General features: G+C 44.9%; 1 protein-coding gene and 1 long non-coding RNA gene across 2 annotated transcripts in view, besides 1 other annotated feature; one reads left to right on the top strand and one right to left on the bottom strand.

Moving 5' to 3' along the window:
- LARGE1 (LARGE xylosyl- and glucuronyltransferase 1) overlaps nucleotides 1–18,533 on the top strand; it is an 856,162-nt gene that overhangs the window by 805,698 nt on the left and 31,931 nt on the right. The gene's annotated exons all lie outside the window — the stretch shown is intronic.
- On the bottom strand, nucleotides 833–8,598 carry LINC01640 (long intergenic non-protein coding RNA 1640). Its single transcript, NR_134617.1, has 4 exons — nucleotides 8,502–8,598; nucleotides 7,894–8,024; nucleotides 6,484–6,718; nucleotides 833–919 (listed from the first exon to the last, which is right to left on the bottom strand). It is a non-coding gene; the product is annotated as a long intergenic non-protein coding RNA 1640 (long non-coding RNA).
- Nucleotides 5,689–6,888: an enhancer, noted in NCBI's record as "CDK7 strongly-dependent group 2 enhancer chr22:33506225-33507424 (GRCh37/hg19 assembly coordinates)". NCBI's record gives its function as "activates an origin of replication core promoter dependent on BRD2, BRD4, P300/CBP, MED14 and CDK7 cofactors, with strong dependence on CDK7, by STARR-seq in HCT116 cells {active_cell/tissue: HCT116}" and the evidence as "EXISTENCE:reporter gene assay evidence [ECO:0000049][PMID:35650434]".

The raw sequence follows: 18,533 nt of genomic DNA, 5'->3' as shown, positions 1-18,533 counted from the left end.
CTCCTTTGGAAACAGCAAGAAGATATGCGAACTTCAGTAGACATGAGACTCAGAGAGGCCTCTAGGCATTTTCCTGTGACTCACTCACCACAGTACTGAAGATACCTGCCATTGCCAGCAGTTTCCTGGGGCCCTCCACCTTCCTGTTTCCTTGAAAACTAGCAGCATACAAAGATTAGTTGTGACCTTTCCTGATTTATTTCCCTCTGCCCCTTACTGTAGTTTTAGAAGCATCTAATGCTCTGTTTTAAATCCCGTGCTACTTGTAAAACATGTAGTATGCTCTATTTTCCTAAGCTCTGACTTACATAGGAATCCCCACCTCCCCTCAACAACCAACTCCACCCCCACTTTATGAAAACCTCACAGCGTGCTAAAAATCATGTTCCCTTTTGTTTCAACCCAGAGCATGAGGCTGTCTGGCCAGTGATTGGCCCAGAAATAATCATTGAAACTAATCAGGGAGCTGGGCGCGGTGGCTCACGCCTGTAATCCCAGCACTTTGGGAGGCCGAGGCGGGCGGATCACGAGGTCAGGAGATCGAGACCATCCTGGCTAACACGGTGAAACCCCGTCTCTACTAAAAAAAAAAAAAATACAAAAAATTAGCTGGGCGTGGTGGCGGGCGCCTGTAGTCCCAGCTACTCTGGAGGCTGAGGCAGGAGAATGGCGTGAACCCGGGAGGCGGAGCTTGCAGTGAGCCGAGATCGAGCCACTGCACTCCAGCCTGGGCGACTGAGCAAAACTCCGTCTCAAAAAAAACAAAAAAGAAACTAATCAGGGAAAGGCAAAAGAGTACCTTAAGGTTTGATCTTAGGTGGCTGGAAAACAGCAAATCTCCCCTCCTTTTGCAAAACGCCCTGTTAAGGATGGAGGGTTAGGAGTGCCAGTCGCCATCGACCTGCTGCAGTCAGAGCTCCTGCGGGAAAAGAAGGTGGATGGATCTGAAATATGGAGAGAAAGACGGTGTCCTGCCATTGTTTAAGTCCCTAGGTCCACCCTCGTCGATGTCCACCTTTGCCTGGCATCTGGAATATAAGATTGTTTTTTGGGTGCTGTCCTAGGACACCTAGTGTATTAGTTTTCTAGGGATGCCGTAACAAAATACCACAGACTGCATGACTTAAACAACAGAAGTTTGTTCGCTCACAGTTCTAGAGACTGGAAGTCCACGATGGAGGTGTCAGTAGGTTTGGTTTCTCCTGAGGCCTCTCTTTATGTCTTACAGATGGTCACTTTCATGCTGTGTTCTCACACGGCCTTTTCTCTATAGGTGCATCCCTGGTATCTCTTTTTTTTTTTTTTTTTTTTGAGACAGAGTCTTGCTCTGTTGCCAGGCTGGAGTGCAGTGGTGCAATGTTGGCTCACTGCAACCGCCGCCTCCCAGTTCAAGCAATTTTTCTGCCTCAGCGTCCCGAGTAGCTGGGACTACAGGTGTGTGCCACCATGCCCAGCTAATTTTTTTTTATTTTTAGTAGAGACGAGGTTTCACCATGTTGGCCAGGATGGTCTCCATCTCCTGACTTCGTGATTCCCCCGCCTTGACCTCCCAAAGTGCTGGGATTACAGGCATGAGCCACCTCGCCTGGCCTCTTCTCTTCTTTAGAGGGACACCAGTCATATTGAATTAGGGCCTCTCCTTCATGGCCTTGTAGATTCTTTTTTTTTTTTTTCTTTGAGAGGTAGTCTCACTCTATCGCCCAGGCAGGAGCGATGGAGAATGGGTTTCACCATCTTAGCCAGGCTGGTCTTGAACTCCTGACCTCGTGATCCATCCTCCTCATCCTCCCAAAGTGCTGGGATTACAGCCGTGAGCCACTGTGCCCGGCCTGGCCTTGGAGATTGTTAGTAGGAAAATTCATATCCCCCACTTCTCATGTCTGCATATGCTAGGACTGCAACTGGAATATTTTTGAGCGCTTTAAAGGCCCTACTTCCAAATATGGTCATAATGGGGGGTCAGAACTTCAACATGTTAATTTGGGTGGGTGAGAGGCACAATTTAGTTTGTAATATCTACTATCCCACAGATGTAAACGACACACACCAAACATTCATCTATATCTCCCTCAGTTCTGAACTAGGTAGCAAATGAAAATAACATTTTTCAGGACACCAAGACCCTTCACATAGACCAAGGTAAGGCATATGAATTTAATTCCAAATACAATAAGAAAATTTCAGAGTTTAAGCAGAAAAGTAACACAATCTGATTTATAAGGATTACTCTGGCCATTGCATAGAACATCTGTTTTAAATTACTAAGTCTTTTTCAAGCCTATGTGACAAGATTCTGTTCTAAGTGCCTTAAAATGGTATGTTTTGTCCTCACTACCACTCTATGAGATTATTATCCTCATTTTGCAGATAAGGAAACTATGATTCAGGCAAGTGAAATTACCTCCCTAAGGCCACAGAGCCACTATCTGCCAATGCCAGAGTTCACACCCACTATGTTTAACTCAGTTAAATGTGAACCTGGCATAGAAACACATTTATGCAGTTGCTTCAAAAGTAAGGGAAGATACACAAGAAACTATCAACAATATCTGTCTCTGGATGATGAGTTTTTTTAGGCATAATGCAGTGTGAAGAAGTAGCAAATAGAAGTTAAGAGCTGTGTTGTGGAATTTATAGATAATAATAACTAAACATGGGCATAAGCATGACTATTTTCCAGGCACTATTCTGAGTGTTTCACAGGTGTGAGCTCCTTGAATTCTCAGAACAGATCTGCCTGCCCTGGGAAGTCCGTTCTTTTTCTTCTAATGAACCTTGCTGGGATAAGTTATGTTGTCCTAACAAGACAGGATAGAAATACTACTGCTACCAATTATATTAATATCAGCTATTAGCTATGAGAGAGCAGGTACTATTATAAGCATTTAGCCTCTATTAGCTAATTTAATCCTTGCAACAGCCCATTGTCACTATTAAGATCTCCAGTTTTCGGCCGGGCGCGGTGGCTCACGCCTGTAATCCCAGCACTTTGGGAGGCTGAGGCAGGCGGATCACGAGGTCAGGAGTTTGAGACCAGCCTGACCAACATAGTGAAACCTCATCTCTACTAAAAAAAAAAAATAGAAAAATTAGCTGGGCGTGGTGCTGTGTGTCTGTAATCCCAGCTACTTGGGAGGCTGAGGCAGGAGAATGGCGTGAACCCGGGAGGCGGAGCTTGCAGTGAGCCAAGATCGCAACACTGCACTCCAGCCTGGGCGATAGAGCGAGACTCCGTCTCAAAAAAAAAAAAAAAGAAAATCCCTAGTTTTCAGAAGAGGAGCTGAGGCACACGGCTATATGGCTTGCCCAAAGACATAAAGTTAGTAAGTTGTAAAAGAAGATTTTGAACGAGAGTGTGGTTCTAATGTCTAAGCACACTTCAGTCTACTGGGAGAGAGAATTTGAAACTCAAGTCAGCCCAACCAGTTGGGTCCTTATCCTCTGTAACAGTTGAACCAACTGAGGCATAGGGAGATTAAGTAACTTGTCCAAATGAGCAGGTCATAGAACAAGCTGTGCAACTCTGGGCAAGTCACTTAAGCTCTCTTGGTCTTGGGCTCATTAGTTGTAGAATGGGTAAGTGATAATATGCACACAAGTTTGGGTGATAATTAAATGACGGCTGGGTGCAGTGGCTCACGCCTGTAATCCCAACACTTTGGGAGGTCAAGGCGGGTGGATCACCTGAGGTCGGGAGTTCGAGACCAGCCTGACCAACATGGAGAAACCCCGTCTCTACTAAAAATACAAAATTAGCCAGGCGTGGTGGCACATGCCTGTAATCCCAGCTACTCAGGAGGCTGAGGCAGAAGAATTGCTTGAACCTGGGAGGCAGAGGTTGTGGTGAGCTGAGATCATGCCATTGCACTCCAGCCTGGGCAACAAGAGTGAAACTCCATCTCAAAAAAAAAAAAAAAAAAAGATAATTAAGTGACGTAAATATACATAAGGCTCTAGACTTACTTCCTGCCATATAGTTGGTGCTTAAAATAGTTTCTATTGATAGTTTGAGTCTTAAAATGAGCATATATTCCTTTAAAACCTACAAAAACAACAAAACATTTATATTTTGAGTTGAACCCTAACATGTCATTTCTCTGAGCAACGAGACTTGAATGCATTTAATAGAGCATGACATTCTCTCACTGTATCTTCATTTCTCTTGGATTTTTATTTCCTCTGACCAATTTTAACACCTGCCCTCCTGACATGATGATTGATTTTCCTGGCAGAGAAGACAGAGACAAAGAGGACTACGGTTAGGGGTGGTACTTCTCCTGTGGGCTTTTTGTACCAGACTAAAAATAGCTTTTTCACACATCTGTGCTGCTTGCAGGCTTTTGTTTCCTGACCCTCTTCAAAAGGACTCCAGCCTGCTTGCCCCACCTGTTCACCATTTGGACACATTCTCTTTGTGTCCTAACTCTCAGAAGAGCTCACCAAGAGAGCACATTGACCTCTTTACACAACAACCCTTCCTACCTCTCTCTGTCCTTCCTCACCAGGACTATTTATACCTTTTAAACAAGATTTCAGTCTTGAAAAGGGCCTTTTCTGGCACTCACTGTCTATTCACTTATTTCATTCATTTAAGCAGCATGCCCCGAATGCGCCCTGTGATATTTGCCAACATGACTTCCACTACTAACAATGGTAATAGTCGCTTCCATCTTGCCAGCGCATACGATGTGGCAGATGCTGTGCTATGCGCTGTATATGCATTCTCTCGTTTAATCCCCTAAAAACTCTAGGATGCACATACTATTACTGTCCTCCATAAACAATGGGGAAAAATGTGAGACTTAACTCAGTGAAGGTTAAGTAACTTAAGTGAGGTTAAGTAACTTCCTTGAAGCCATAGCAAGTGGCACAGCCATCCACTTTTCTCGATCCCACTTTTGTCTTTCTGGCTCAGGCCACCACCCATCCTCTGGACTAGTTCATCAGCCTCCTAACTGGGCTGCCAGCTCCAGCCTTGACCCCCTGCAAACTATTCTCTACACAGGCACAGTAAAGTTTTAAAAACACATGTCAAGCTATTCCCTTGCTTAAAACCCTTCAATGGCTCCTCCCTTCTCTTGGGATAATGTGCTAAGTCCTTATATGGCTTTGAACCCTCAGATCTCAAGCCTTCATTTATTTCCCATATTCTACGTTCCAGCTATATTGGACTTTATTTGTCCCCAGGCCTTCCACTGTCTGTTCCCTCAGTTGTAACACTCTTCCTTGCTTTCCACTGTCATTCCTGGGAGAAAATAAAGGCATCTCTCTTGCTTCCCCGCCCCATAATTCCTCCAGAAGCACATAAATTCCTCAGTAATTTCATGCATTTATAAGGTTTCTATTACATCATTTATTTCATCACAACCCCCTACAGATGAGGGAGCTGACCTCAAGCAACCTTCTCAAAATCAGAGTTCTAGCAAGAGGCAGAGGTGGGATGCAAATGCATATGTCTCTCTGACTCGACACTGTGATCTTTCCTCTGATCTTTGTTGCCATGACGTTTTTTGAGGTTAAAAACAACAGTAGATAAATGAGTCTGGACGGGGGGAATTGTCAGTGAGGCTGAAATTAATCCAATCAGCTAGGGGAAAGGAATCTTATCCTATGCCTTTGGGGGTGGGAAGGTCAGGAGTTGGGCTCCAGCTGCAGAGTGGGTTTCTGCTTTCCAAATTAGGGTCTTTTCCTTGCCTACCTTTGTGTGGCTATAATCATAGAAGCTGTTTTATTAACGCCCTTGGTAAAGCCCAGCAAGATGATACATCCTTAGCAACAAAGGGTTAGCTGGGGCCAGTCCTACGGAGTCAGAGTCTCACAAGGGACACTTGGAGGAGAGCAGAAAGGAAATCCACCAAGGAAGCGGCGATCCTGAGAAACCAAGGTTCCAGAAATGGGCTTCAGAGGATTCTTACCACCTCTCCCCCATCTCTCCTCAACCCAGCCCTCACCCATTCACTTGGGGAAATTAGGGAGGTTTGATAATAACTACAACCAGCTCCTCCTAATTAATTGCCAGGTCTCAAAAGTCACTGGTGCCTAGTGGTATGATAAAAGGCTTAGTGTCTTTTATCTGTCTTGGGCCCCACCCAGTTTGGCATTCTTTAAAGCATGCTCAACACACATCATACAGCTTGATCTTTATATAAGCCTCCTAAAAGCAGAGCTTTTTTGTTTACCTCTGCCTCACATGGAATTTTCCCCTTTGTTGTTTTTATTATCTAAGCGATACATATTTATTATGAAAGAAATAGGCCAACAGAAAAGCAATGACTCAAACCACCATCAGCTTGGCATTGTGACTGATGACCAAATCTGCCACTACAACAGAATGCCAAAAACCTCCTGCCAGATGGTAAACAACTAGAAGAACCAAGTCTGCAGCCGTGCATGGTAGGAAGGCACGGATTGGGGAGTAGCCCCAGTTTGGACTTGGACTTGGAACCAAATTCCGCGCTGTGCGAACTGTGCAGAAATTCTTACTCAGACCGTTGGAACAATAAGGACATCTGTTGGCCCACATAGCAGGAAGCTTCAGGATTGGCTTTATCCAGTGGTCTCTGTGATGCTCCTGGCCATTCCCACCGCTGCACCAGTGTCACGCACAAGCTTCTTGTGAGGTGGCTGCAGTATCCCCAGAACTCATATCCACACACAGCAATGTCAGAGGATCAAACTGGCTCCTGCTGATGCTTTCTCCAGAGAGAGAGGACAATATCTGCAGAAGCCCCAGAAAATTTCCCCTTGCACCTTTTTTATTCAAAACGTACGCTCATTTCTGAACTAATCCCTACAGCTGGCAGGATGCTCTGCACTAATTGGCTTAGGCCTGAATTCTCCCACTGGAAATGGAGATGTGATTTCTGTGACTAGCTCACATTAATCAGGCCCCACCCCTGCAGATGGTGTGGGGTAGACATTGCAATGTCAATAGCAATTGTCTGGCCTTGAACAGGTTATTTAACTCCTCTGAGCATCAATGTCCCCACTTAGAAAATGGGAATAGTCAGACAGTTTTGGTGGTGGACAGTATCTGAGATAATTTATGTGAAATGACAAAATTTGATGCTGAACACTTAGGGGATGAGTAAGCGTGTTAGTTCACTTTGCATTGCCGTAAAGGATTCCCTGAGACTGGGTGATTTACAGAGAACAGAGATTTATTTGGCTCACGGTTCTACAGACTGTGCAATAAGCATGCTGCTGGCATCTGCTTCTGGTGAGGGCCTCAGGAATCTTACAATTATGGCAGAAGATGCAGGTGGAGCAGGTGGTGTCACATGGCAAGAGCGGGAGCAAGAAGGAGAGGAGGAGATGCCAGGCTCCTTTAAACAACCAGATCTCCAGTGAACTCATTATTGCAGGGAGGACACCAAGTCATTCTTGAGAGATCTGCCCACGTAATTCAAACATCTCCCACTCCCACTAGGCCCCACCTCCAACATTGGAGATCACATTTCAACATGAGATTTGGAGGTGGCAAACATTGAAACTATATCCATAAGTGAATAAATGTTTGATAAAATCCATTAATTAATTAATGGTAACTTTAGGTAGCAATAAGCAAATAAAGGTACATTTCCTCATCCCCTTCTGGCTGGACCTTTTGGCAGGCGATGACTTAAGAAGGTCCTTGAATCAGGCATGGTGGTGCATGCCTGCAGTCCCAGCTAGTCAGGAGGCTGAGACGGGAAGATCACTTGAGCTCAGGAGTTCCAGGCTGCAGTGTGCCATGATCATTCCTATAAATAGCCACTGCACTCCTGCCTGGACAACAGAGCCAGATCCTGTCTGTTAACTTTTTTTTTTTTTAATTTAAAAAAGAAAGTCCTTGAAACAGAGTTAAGCATGTCAAAAGTTTGCCAGAGAAAGCCCCAACTTTAGCAACCAAACCTGGCTTGTTAGATGGTAGAGAGATGGGGCTCTGTGTTGAGACTTCCTGGGTTTGAATCCAGAACCTTCAAATTACTGGCCAGGTGACCTTTGAAATGTGACCTCCTCTCCCCAAGCCTCAGTTTTCTCCTCTGTGAAATGGGTCAATAAAAGGCAACCTTCATTGAACACAATGTATTGGACAGACATTATTTTAAACATTTCACAGGTAGAATTTTATTAAATCCTTTCCACAACCTCATCAGCTTGACACTTTTATTACCTCATTATAAAGATAAGAAAACTAGGTCATGGGGAGATTAAGCTACTTGCCTAAATGTGGAGCCAGGACCTTAACACAAATAATCTAGCTTCAGAGCATGCATTCATAATAATTAAATTCTACTGCCTCTCAGTAATAATAGTAGACACCTCAGGGGCTTTTTGTGGTGATAAATGACATAATACATATGCAATGCTCAGGAGGCTCAGCAACAGTAGTATAATTGCTAATAATAATATTAGTAATTATTATTATTACTATGTGGAGGTAAATGATGTTTCCACATAAGCTCAAAACTTCCACCCCATTGTCAGAAAAATCTTCGCCATAGAGTTGATGTACTTACAGGATTCTACTAGTTCCCCTGTTTCCAAAGAAAAACTTCAGCTTTCCCTGATCCATCCCCCAACCCCCATCCTTCCTGCCCCACCGTGCACAGGGATGAGGCTGCTCACCCAGGTCTCTGTGACTCTGTTCATGTCATTACTTGTGATGGAACAACAGCTCTCTTCCCACCGTGCTCATGGGCAAACTCCTTTTCCTTCTGCAGAAAAACCACTCCTTCTTCTATGCCCTGGGGTCACTGGGGAGAGCTCTCCACTAACTTGAGCTGTAATCACTTTCAGTTGCACGTGTCTGTCTCCCTCGTGGAGATGGGATGGAGCACTATGTTTAGCCATTTTTCTTTCTCCAGTGCTTGATACAAAGCTGGCATATAATATAAACTCAGTGAATGTTTGTTGAATGAATCAGTGACTCACAATTAGGATGAGTACACGCTGAGTACTGAGTGTATATCAGGAAGCATCCTAGGTGCCTTATGTGCTGCATTACAGTTATAGTTACAACGGCACACATGTAATTTAGATGAAAAAAGAGGGAATCCATAGAACCTGATTGGTGGTTATATAGCGTTTGCTTTATGAATATATAATATAGTACATTTTATTCAGTCTTCCATTTGTTTTATTCATTTTCTATATGCATGATGTCTCAAATTTTGCTTATTTTAATTCATTTTTCAAGCTTCAAACTAAAAAGTTGATGGCAAAAAAAAAATCCCAATGAGAAAATCATAAAATTAAATAAAGCCTTTAAAAATATTTATTTATTTTAGAGACAGGGTCTTCCTGTGGGGTACAGTGGCACAATCATAACTCACTGCAGCCTCAACCTCCTGGGCTCAAGCGATCCTTGCTCCTCAGCCTCCCTAGTAGCTAGGTCAACTGGTATGTGCCACTGTGCCCAGCTCATTTTTAAAACATTTTTTGTAGAGACAGGATATTGCTTTGTTTCCCAGGCTGGTCTCAAACTACCAGCCTCAAGTGATTTTCCAGTTTCAGTCTCCTAAAGTGCTGGGATTACAGGCATGAGCCACTGCGCCTGACTAAATGTAGCTTTTTAAATGATTTTTTTTGAGACAAAGTCTCGCTCTGTAACCCAGGCTGGAGTGCAGTGGTGCGAACGTGGATCTCTGCAGCCTCGACCTCCTGGGCTCCAGCAAGTCTCCTACCTCAGCCCCGCAAGTAGCTGGGATTACAGGTGCATGCCACCACTCCCAGCTAATTTTCGTAGAGATGGGGTTTTGCCATGTTGCCCAGGCTGCTTCCAAACTCCTGAGTTCAAGCAATCTGCCTGCCTTGGCCTCCCAAAGGGCTGGGATTACAGGCATGAGCCATTGCATGCAGTGTGATATTTGGAAATATTAAAATATGTCATTAAATCTTAACATTTGTTTTAATTATGGCTTAAAATGCAAATGTCATTAATAAATGTTTTTTAAATGTTTGAAAGACATTTTGGAAGTGCTGACTGTGGTGAATCTGAGAGAGAGAGTATCATTGAAATAGGACCTGAACTCTTCAGTAATGATTTAGTCTCTTACTCTTTTGCATTAGAAGTATTTTCAGTTAAGTGGCCCCCATCACTGCGTGTGAATGGTTTTTCTCTTAAGTATGGGGAAACTTTGGGATGAAAACCAACCCTGAATTATTCTTGCTGTCTGGGAAAAACTACATGGACATTAAAATGTTAGATCATCTGAAGAAGGTAAATTTTGACCTCTCTAATCATTTCTTACTGACCTCTTTCTCAATAAAACTTCACTGAGATGGGAAAAATCTATTTGGTTGGTGCAAAAGTAATTGCGGTTTTTGCTATTTAAAAGTAATGGTGTGGCTGGGCGCAGTGGCTCACGCCTGTAATCCCAGCACTTTGGGAGGCTGAGGTGGGTGGATCACCTGACTTCAGGAGTTCAAGACCAGCCTGGGCAACATGGTGAAACCCCATTTCTACTAATAATACAAAAATTAGCTGGGCATGGTGGCACATGCCTGTAATCCCAGCTACTCCGGAGGCTGAGGCAGGAGAATCGCTTCAACCTGGGAGGCAGAGGTTGCAGTGAACCGAGATCGTGCCACTGCACTCCAGCCTGGGCGACAGAGCAAGATTCCGTCTCAAAAAAAGAAAAAAAAAAAAGGAATGGCGAAAACTGCAATTACTTTTGTACCAACCTAATGGTAACAGAATTGAATTTCCGGCTAAAGCCCACTCCCACCTGGACTCTTGTGAACCGTTCCTCATTCTGAGCAGCTTGTCCGGATCATTCATTCAGGGCTTAGCAAAGGAGTTTGTGTTGTTAAGCAGCTTTTTGTTTTGTCCACCTTTTCTACTCATACTCTCACCTGCTGGAAAGTGAGTTCCTGAAGAAACCCTGTCTTCTTCACCTCTGTATCCCCAGCCATTTCCCAGATGCCTGGACAGCAGAGGTGCCCAATCAGTGGGTGCTGACTGAACCAGACTCAATGAAGCAACGGCTGCCATAGGCCACGTCGGAATTCCTTTCTCCACCGTTAACAGCCCACATCATTTAGGGCCTGAGAGTGAGTTTGCGGAGCTGCTTGGACAAACCAAAAGAAAGCCGGGGCCAGAAAGAAACTCAGACATCATCTGGCTTACATTTTAATCTTGCAACTGAGAAAAGGTAGACTCTCAGCAGGTAAGGGTATCATTCATTTGACATATCTGGTAAGCAATGAAGTTGAGACTAACCCTAGTGCCACTTGGCTTCCAGCCCAGGCTCCTTCCCCTTTGTCATCAGGCTTTCCTGCTCCGAGGGATGTATGCCACCCCTTTTATACTGGCACAGAACGTTTCCAAGCTGTGAAGCATCGTGCCATCTCCAGGAAGAGGAGCCTGCTCCCAGCCTGGCTTAAGAGAGCTCATTTTTCACTTACAGCTCCTGGCAATAAACAACTCAGGCGCAACGGGATGTTTCTTACAAGGAGCAGCCGTGCAGTGATTGCTCCACTCTGAGGGTCTGACTCAGCCCTTCCTCAGCTTCTGGGCTTATTTTAGCCCCACGTTTCTGGAGGAGGAAACGAGAACATGATCAAGGATGCCGTGGGAAGAGCCTGGGGCCCTCCAGTTCTCTCGGGGAGCCTCGGGAAGCTCCTCGCAGTTTCAGCTACTGTAGAAATTCACAGCCAAGGGCTCCTACAGAATTGGGCTGTCAGCCTGGCCAGCCTGGGCGGGTGGGCCCCGCTGTAAGAAAGCCTGCCATTTGGAAATGAGAATTAGAGCAAAAGGATACATTTGAGGTTGATTATTGACCTGGGAAAGAGTTTCTTTCCCTTCTTTACTAAATGTGGGATAGTAGAAAGAACAAGTCGAGGCCAGGCGCGGTGGCTCATGCCTGTAATCCCAGCACTTTGGGAGGCTGAGGCGGGTGGGTCATGAGGTCAGGAGTTCGAGACCAGCCTGGCCAACATGGTAAAACCCTGTCTCTACTAAAAATGCAAAAAAAAAATAGCGGGGCTTGGTGGCACACACCTGTAATCCCAGCTACTTGGGAGGCTGAGGCAGGAGAATCGCTTGAACCCAGGAGTCGGAGATTGTGGTGAGCGGAGATAGTACCACTGCACTCCAGCCTGGGTGACAGAGCAAGACTTCATCAAAAAAAGAAAGAAAGAGAGAGAGAGAAAGAAAAGAAAAAGAAAGAAAGAAAGAGAGAAAGAGAGAAAGAGAAAGAAAGAAAGAAAGAAAGAAAGAAAGAAAGAAAGAAAGAAAGAAAGAAAGAAAGAGAGAGAAAGTCTATTGAAGTCCCAGCTTCTATTTATGAGCCATGAAAACGGGCTCGAGATTCACCTTTTTGAGACTGGGAACTGTAGGGAAGGAGCCTTGGGCTGGGTCTTGAAAAGACAAGGGAGGAAGGCAGAAAAGTTGTTATAGGCAGAAGAAGAGGTCTCTGCAAATGCCTGCAGATGTGAAAATGCATAACATATTCAGAGAATTGTCTGGAATGGCCTCAGCCAAGTCAGACAGGGAAGATAGATGGGATCAGTGGCAGCCTCCCTACTCTTCCTATAGCACCTCTTGCATATTTCTGCTCACACAGTTGTGCTTAAATCACTCCCCTTACCTGAAGGCTTTCCCAGTTCTCTCCAGCTACCAACTCTTCCCATTGTCACTCGCATGTACCCCATCTCTCCAATGCAGCATTTCTTGCTGCCCTGGGCCACAAGGTCCCCTCCATAGGCCTCTATCAGCATTTACCATCAGTGCAGCTCATTTAGCCCCTAGCCCTTTCTCTGTGTGACTAGTAATACTTTCATCTCCAACAGAAACAGAAATCATTCATGTATGAGCTGTCTTATCCTATCTGTCTTTACTCTTGCTCTGTGTTGATTTTCTATTGCTAGGTAACAAATAATGGCAAACTTAGAGGTCCAAAGCAACTCCCACTTATTAGCTCACAGTGGTATGTAGGTCAGAGGTCCAGCAACAGCATTGCTGGGTTCTGTTTGCAGGGTCTCACAAGGCTGAAATCAAGGTGTCAGCCAGTCTGTGTTTCTTTTTGGATACTCTGGGGAAAAAAATCCATTTCTGTATTAGTCTGTTTTCACTCTGCTGATAAAGACATACCTGAGACTGGGTCATTTAGAAAGAAAAAGAGGTTTAATGGACTCACGGTTCCATGTGGCTGGGGAGGCCTCACAATCACGGCAGAAGGTGAAAGGCACTTCTTACATGGTGGCAGACAAGAGAGAAGTGATAGCCAAGTGGAAGGGGTTTCCCCTTATAAAACCATCAGATCTCGTGAGACATATTCACTACCACGAGAACAGTATAAGGGAAACCACCCCCATGATTCAATTATCTCCTCTCACAACACTTGGGAATTATGGGAGCTACAATTCATGATGAGATTTGGGTGGGGACACAGCCAAACCATATAAACTTCCAAAGTCATTAAAGTTGTTGGCCAAAGTCAGCTCCTTGAGGTTGTAGGACTGAGGTCCCTGTTTCCTTATCAGGGGTTTCTCTTACCTCCTATAGGACACCCACATTCCTTGCCACATGGTCCCCATGGACAGCTCGCAACATGGTTGTTACCTCTTCCAGCCCAGCAAGAGCACATCTCTGACTCCTTCCTCAGTGACCAACCTGAGAAACACTTCTGCTTTTAAAGAGCTCATTTGATTAGGTCAAGTTCACCTTGAATGACCTCCCTTTTTTTTTTTTTTTTTTTTTTTTTTTTGAGACAGAGTCTCACTCTGTTGCCCAGGCTGGAGTGCAGTGGCACAATCTCGGCTCACTGCAAGCTCTGCCTACCGGGTTCATGCCATTCTCCTGCCTCAGCCTCCCGAGTAGCTGGGACTACAGGCGCCCGCCACCACGCCCGGCTAATTTTTTGTAATTTTGGTAGAGATGGAGTTTCACCTTGTTAGCCAGGATGGTCTCAATCTCCTGACCTCGGGATCCGCCCGTCTCGGCCTCCCAAAGTGTTGGGATTACAGGCGTGAGCCAACGCACCCGGCTGAATGATCTCCCTTTTTAAAGTGAATGTGTCATCTCACATAACCTAGTCACGGGAATAATATCCATCATGTTCACAGGCCCAAGGATTATGTAAGGCATCTACACCGGCGGGGCGGGGGGCAGGGGCCGCGGGAGATCCTAGGGGACGTCCAAAAATTCTGCATACCACAACCTCCAAGATCCTTTCTATGAAGGAAGAAGTTTTTTCTTTCGGGGTCTGTTTCTGACTCTCCCTTGTTATCCAGGAAATGGGCAGATTTCCACCCAGACACAGTGAGAAACAGAGCCAGATTTCCTCTCCCAAGAGATTGCAAGGTGTGGAAAGGGCCGGGAGTGCAGGCTCGTAGACAGGGAATGGGGGTGCCAGGTGCAGTGGTTTACGCCTGTAATCCCAGCACTTTGGAAAGCCGAGGCGGACGGGTCACCTGAGGTCAGGAGTTCAAGACTAGCCTGCTCAACATGGCGAAACCCCGTCTCTACTAAAAATACAAAAAAGTAGCTGGGCAAGGTGGCAGGCACCTGTGATCCCATCTACTCAAGAGGCTGAGGCAGAAGAATCACTTGAACCCGGGAGGCGGAGGTTGGGGTAAGCTGAGATCGTGCCACTGCACTCCAGCCTGGGCAACAAGAGTGAAACTCCTTCAGAAAGAAAGAAAAAAAGGAAGGAAGGAAGGAAGGGGGGCCCAGGTGCAGTGGCTCATACCTGTAATCCCAGCACTTTAGGAGGCCGAGGTGAGCAGGTCACAAGGTCAAGAGATCAAGAGCATCCTAGCCAACATGGTGAAACCTCTTCTCTACTAAAAATACAAAAAAAAATTAGCTGGGCATGGTGGCCCACGCCTGTAGTCCCAGCTACTCGGGAGGCTGAGGCAGGAGAATCGCTTGAACCCAGGAGGCGGAGGTTGCAGTGAGTCAAGATTGCATCACTGCACTCCAGACTGGTGACAGAGTGAGACTCCATCTCAAAAAAAAAAAGGAAAAAAAAAAAGACAAAGGGACTGGGGCCCGTGAACATCAGGACTGGAGGAAGAGGAAGGAAAGGGAAACAGTTTATGGGCAAGGGGATGGGCATATGAGAGAGGCAGGGCTTGGCTACCGTATGAATGGGAAATGGAGAGAAAGAGGCAGGAAAGAATCACAGATTTCATTTCAGGTAAACATTTGGTAGGAAAAAGAATGAGAAAGGAAATTGAAAGGAATAAAACAAAAAGATTTTAAAAGCACTGCTTTCAGTTGTAAATTGCATCCTTTGGGACATGCTTTGAAAGGAACTCACAGAAACATAAATTTGCTTTGAATAATGTTGGCTGCTTGCTGTCTTTCCTTGAATGTGACATTGTGCAGGGACTGAGCCTGGTGACATATCTTCCTATTGCACATGTAGGTACCTTATCTGCCTGGTTAGGCTACAAGCAGGGTTGCCCTATAATGTCAACTGAAGCACCAAGCAGCAAGGTAAAAGAGAAGCATTTATTTTCATAGAAATGTGTGCCATCTGACATCGTGAGACATCTGCTTCATTTATTAAACACAATACTTAGAATCTCATTCCCAAAGACCCACGCCAATGCCAGACATCTGGGAATCCTGTCTGAGAGCCCTTCAAGGTCAGGAACTGTGTCTTGATCATATCTATTTTTCCTAGTTCCTAGCACAGAGGAGATACATGAGAAAAGGAGGCTTGCAATCGAACCTATTTGATTAATAAATGTAATAGCTAACATGAATACATTACTTACAAAATCTCAGAAAGCATTCTAAGATATTATTATTTTCCCTGTTTTGATTATGAAAACTGAGACACAGAGAGGTTAAGTGACTTGCTCAAGTTCACACAGCTGATAAATGCTAAAGCCAGAAATTTAATATAAGCATTTAGGTCTTTAGTCCATGCACCTGCCATAAGTTATGATCATCTAGTAAGGAACGGTGAGGATAATACCCTGCAGGCATTCTACCTCCAATGGCAAAATAAGACCACGAATGGATGTGAAAGAAGTTAATGCAGGCCAAGCATGGTGGCTCACGCCTGTAATCCCAGCACTTTGGGAGGCTGAGGCAGGCGGATCACCTCAGGTCAGGAGTTCGAGACCAGCCTGACCAACATGGAGAAACCCCGTCTCTACTAAAAATAAAAAATTAGCCGGGTGTGGTAGCACCTGCCTGTAATCCCAGCTACTCGGGAGGCTGAGGCAGGAGAATCGCTTGAACTTGGGAGTCTGCCTCCCAGGTGGCAGTGAGCCGAGATCGCACCATTGCACTCCAGCCTGGGCAACAAGAGCGAAACTCCATCTCAAAAAAAAAAAAAAAATAGAAGTTAATGCAGAAGCTCCCTGGGCACCAGGTATTTTCTAGAAGCACTGGAGAACAAGATGCAATCTCTGAGCTCTTGCTACTAAATGGTGGTAGTGAACCAGCAGCATCGGATCACCAGGGAGCTAATTAGAAATGCAGAATGAATGAATCTGCACCTAATGAATCATTCTGCACCTAATGAATCAAACTCTGCTTTTTGACAAGGTCACGAGGTAATACATGTACACATTAAACTTGAGTAGCACCACTCTAAAAATATTATCTAAACCAGTACAGTCCAATAAAACTTCCTGCAAGTTGGAAATGTTCTATCTCTACACTAGTAACTAGCCTTATGTGGCTATTACAGTCTTGGGCCGCATGTGGCTACACTCTTGGGCCACATGTGACCAGTACAACTGAGGAAGTGATTTCTTTATGATATTTTGATGAACTTAGATTTATTTATTTATTTAATTTTTTACTTTTTTTTTTTTTTTTTTTTTTGAGATGGAGTCCCATTCTATCACCTAGGCTGGAGTGCAGTGGCGCAATATCTCGGCTCACTGCAACCTCTGCCTCCTGGGTTCAAGCGATTCTCTTGCCTCAGCCTCCCGAGTAGCTGGGGTTACAGGCATACACCCCCATGCCTGGCTAATTTTTGTTTTGTTTTGTTTTGTTTTAGTAGAGACAGGGTTTTGCCATGTTGGCCAGGCTGGTCTCAAACTCCTGACCTCAGGTGATCCACCCGCCTCAGCCTCCCAAAGTGCTGGGATTACAGGCATAAGCCACCACGACTGGCCAAACTCAGATTTAAAAATAGCCTCATGTGTCTAGTGGCTACCATTTTAGACAGTACAGAGTCTAGATTTATTGTTCCCCTGTGTTTATTTCTCTGTGATCCAATAATCTCTGTAAAGTTTTATGAAGAGTCCAGTCTTGAAACAGCTGTTATGGAAATGCAGTGGAGGATTTTGTGTCTCTTCCTGACTCGGGCCAGAGCGTCATAGGAAGCATGGAATCACATCACTGAAGGCATTTCATGATCTGGCCAATCCTGTTCCCTGCCTGGTACACCTATGTGCCTCTTCAGCAATCTGTGCATTTTCCTATGCTTACATATTTATTGTCATCCTCTGGTGACTCAACTATATTTAATGCCAACTTCAAGCTGTCCAAGCCCACAATCAAACCTTATTAGGAAACATAATATAACCTTCAGGATGCCCTCAGCCATAAGTAAGAGGAAAGAAATGTTCACTGGGAACACGCCTTGCCCACCTTCTTATTTTAAATTAGCATCCTCGCCGGGCGCGGTGGCTCAAGACTGTAATCCCAGCACTTTGGGAGGCCAAGGCAGGTAGATCACCTGAGGTCAGGAGTTTGAGACCAGCCTGCCCACATGGAGAAACCCTGTCTCTACTAAAAATACACAATTAGCCGGGCTTGGTGGCGCATGTCTGTAATCCCAGCTACTTGGGAGGCTGAGGCCGGAGAATCGCTTAAACCCAGGAGGCAGAGGTTGTGGTGAGCTGAGATCACGCCATTGCACTCCAGCCTGGGCAACAAGAGCAAAACTCCCTCTCAAGAAAAATTAATTAATTAATTAACTTAGCATCCTCCTCTTCCACACTCCATAGCTATCTTCCACGCCTTATTTTGCTCTGTATCATTTCACACATATTCGGAGGGATAAAAAACCTTTTTCCTCTACCCTCCTAGGCTCTCTGGCTGGGACCCTGCAAATTAGACTGACACAAACTAGATTAAGAGGAGAGAAACAGAGTTGATTAACACATGGGAGAAACTTGATGATGGGTAACTCAAAGGGGTGGTTAGAATTTGGGCTTATGTAGCATCTTAACAAAGAACAATAAATTTGTAGAGAAATGATCAGACAAAGGATAATATTCTAGGCCTCTTAGGCCTCCAAGGTTGGCATCTGTGGGAAGGTAAGCATATGGGGAAACTAACAGTGTGAAGCTTGTTTATTCAGTTCCATCTTGGTTCTCACTTTCTGTCCTCTTCACGGCCATGAAACTTCCCTGGAGAAGGTGCGGTGTGGGGTGGGATTTATAACAGTCCTCATTCCTCAGAACTTTCCACTTTTAGTTAGAGAACGCCAGCTCTAGGAAGGTTTCTTTCTGCATCTATTGAATCACAAATGCCTCCAGCTCAAAGTAAGATTTGTGCCAAAAACATACTATATTTTTTATTTTTATTTATTTATTTTTTTGAGACGGAGTCTTGCTCTGTAGCCCAG

This window comes from Homo sapiens, chromosome 22 (assembly GCF_000001405.40).
Source record: "Homo sapiens chromosome 22, GRCh38.p14 Primary Assembly".
In the NCBI taxonomy this organism is placed as follows: Eukaryota; Metazoa; Chordata; class Mammalia; order Primates; family Hominidae; genus Homo; species Homo sapiens.
This window is presented reverse-complemented; position numbering and strand designations above follow the sequence as displayed.